General features: G+C 43.8%; 1 protein-coding gene and 1 long non-coding RNA gene across 8 annotated transcripts in view; both read left to right on the top strand.

Annotated features, from left to right (window-relative positions):
• Positions 1-2,528, top strand: part of FHIT (fragile histidine triad diadenosine triphosphatase) — a 1,504,176-nt gene that overhangs the window by 922,711 nt on the left and 578,937 nt on the right. The window lies entirely within an intron of this gene.
• The window catches only part of LOC107986015 (uncharacterized), a 100,472-nt gene that overhangs the window by 28,011 nt on the left and 69,933 nt on the right, over positions 1-2,528 (top strand). Inside the window, exon 2 of one of the 2 annotated variants that reach the window (XR_001740433.3) lies at positions 2,419-2,476. The exons of the other annotated variant lie outside the window; for it this stretch is intronic. This is a non-coding gene — a long non-coding RNA (uncharacterized LOC107986015). The remainder of the gene's footprint in view (positions 1-2,418; positions 2,477-2,528) is intronic. 2 annotated transcript variants of the gene reach the window in all.

Below are 2,528 nucleotides of genomic sequence, written 5' to 3'. Positions count from 1 at the left end.
GTGGGGCACAATCTTATTATTGGTGGTCTTTTATGTAATCTATGTCAAGTGTATGGAATCTGAAGTTTTCATTTCTGTACTCAGTAGGATGATTGATATGGTTTGGCTGTGTCCCCCCCAAATCTATCCTGTAATTCCCATAATCCCCAGGTGTAGTGAGAGGGACCTGGTGGGAGGTAATTGAATCATGGGGGCAGGTTTTTCCTATGCTGTTCTCCTGTTAGTTAGTAAGTCTCACAAGATCCAATGGTTTTATAAAGGGCAGTTCCCGAGCACACGCTCTCTTGCTTGCTGTCATGTCAGACATGCCTTTACTCTTCCTTCGCCTTCCTCCATGATTGTAAGGCCTCTCCAGCCATGTGGAAGTGTGAGTCCATTAAACCTCTTTTTCTTATAAAGTACCCATTCTCAGGTGTTTCTTCATAGCAGTATGAAAATGAACTAATACAATGATTTTGTTTTGATCTTAATTGATCCATGTGTTAGTTGCTCAGTCTGCCACTCTCATCTAGATCCCTGTCTCTGCTCATTCCTGCCTTACTCTGTGTTCAGTGCCTGCCCTTTCCAACTTTTCCAATAGACTACATTGCCTGTGCTCCCTTACAGTTGGATTGGATCTGGGATTGACAAGCATGGTGGCTAGGCTGAAAATCAGAGGACTGGAGCAGAAGGAAGTTGGGGTTCTCTTTCTTGCTTCTTCCCTGATTGAGTGAGCATTACATTTGACATTGATAGTCCTTCCTCCATGTTTTAGCTCTCACAGGGCTCTGGGATCACTGTGGCCTCCCCTTGCCCTTTGAGGGATGCCATGACCTCCTGCTCTTGCTCTTGTCTGAGTGCCTCCACCTCCCTTCTTGTTTCCTTCGCCTGCCAGCCCCTCCATTAATAAGCCTTTTATTAGAGTCTCTTCATTTGAACCATCTGAATTGAATTAGGTTCCCACTGGGACCCTAATATAGGTCATTTAGTCAGGACAGCAGAGACCATCTCCAGTCACTGAGGACAAACTCTATGTTTTACTTACCCATTCTGCTTTTAATACCTGTTACCTTAAAACATCTGGTAGTGGTTGTCTTTTATGAGAGTCTTCTTTGTTCTGGAATGATAAATAGGAGGGTTGGCTGGTTTGGAGTTATCACATTCATTCATAATATTAAATATTTAGCACACACCATATGCAAGACATGGTCTACAATGGAGTTGGCAACTATAGCTCTGGGCCACATCTGGTCCTCTGGCTGTTTTTGTAAATAATGTTTTGTTAGAACATAGCCATGCCCGTTTATTTATATATTTATTGGCTATGGCTGTTTTTGCTCTACGGTGTCAGAGCTAAGTAGCTGCACAGCAGAGATTGTATGGCTTGCAAAGCCTAAAATAGCTAATCTCTGACACTTTACTGAAAAGGGTGACAGACCCTTGGACTAGATGCTGGGAATATATTGGTAAATAAGGTGGGCATCCTCTGTCATCCAGTCCTGGGGACACAGCAGTGAACAAAACAACTTCAAACCCCTTCCCTGGTGGAGCACATTTTGTTGTGGGGGATAAAGAAGCTGATGAAGAAGATGGAATATGAAACATAGACTGTGTTATAGAGGGGTAAGCTCTAGGGAGAAAATAAATCAGGGAAGAAGCCTAGGAAATGTTGTGGTTGGCAGGTGCTGTCACTGGTGCAGGAAGCCTGGGGACGACCTCCATGAGGAGGAGACCTGGATCCTCATTTTCCTGGCATTCACTTCCTGTTTCCCACCTCTTATCTCTCTCTTCTCATTTATATAATTAACATTGCCAGATACTGCCAAATTGAAATCTGTAAACTAAGAGTGTTATTTTTCGATTACTGTGATCATGGAAAGCTGAGGGAAAACATAACCTTGTGAAATTCTTCTTCCAGAAAGCATTTTTACATTTCTCTTCTTCAGCAATGGGGAGATGTGGGTCACAGCACAGGAAAGGTTTTACTCCAGCTTCATCCTTTAGTCAGCAGTCACTACTACTAGTAGCTCTGGACTCAGGCAGAAAATACTGTTAAGGGGACATCGTCCATTTTTTAAATATCGTACACAGTAATTACCATTCACTCTGGGAAAGGGTGAGGGGGCAGAAGCAAACATGGTTTAGGACAGGGGTCCCCAGCCCCTGCGTCATGGACCAGTCCATGGCCTGTTAGGAACCTGGCCACACAGCAACAAGTGAGCAGTGGGCAATTGAGCAAAGCTTCATCTGTCTTTACAGCCGCTCCCCCATCACTCCCATTACTGCCTGAGCTCTGCCTCCTGTGAGATTAGCGGCAGGATTAGATTCTCATAGGAATGTGAACCCTATTGTGAATTGCACATGGGAGGGATCTAGGTTGCCCGCTCCTTATGAGAACCTAATGCCTGATGATCTGTCACTGTCTCCCATCACCCCCAGATGGGACCAGCTAGTCACAAGAATACAAGCTCAGGACTCCCATTGATTCTACATTATGGTGAGTTGTAGAATTATTTCATTATATATTACAATGTAATAATAATATAAAT

This window comes from Homo sapiens, chromosome 3, assembly GCF_000001405.40.
Source record: "Homo sapiens chromosome 3, GRCh38.p14 Primary Assembly".
Classification (NCBI taxonomy): domain Eukaryota; kingdom Metazoa; phylum Chordata; class Mammalia; order Primates; family Hominidae; genus Homo; species Homo sapiens.
The sequence above is the reverse complement of the archived record's forward strand: the minus strand, read 5'-3'. Positions and strand labels throughout refer to the sequence as shown.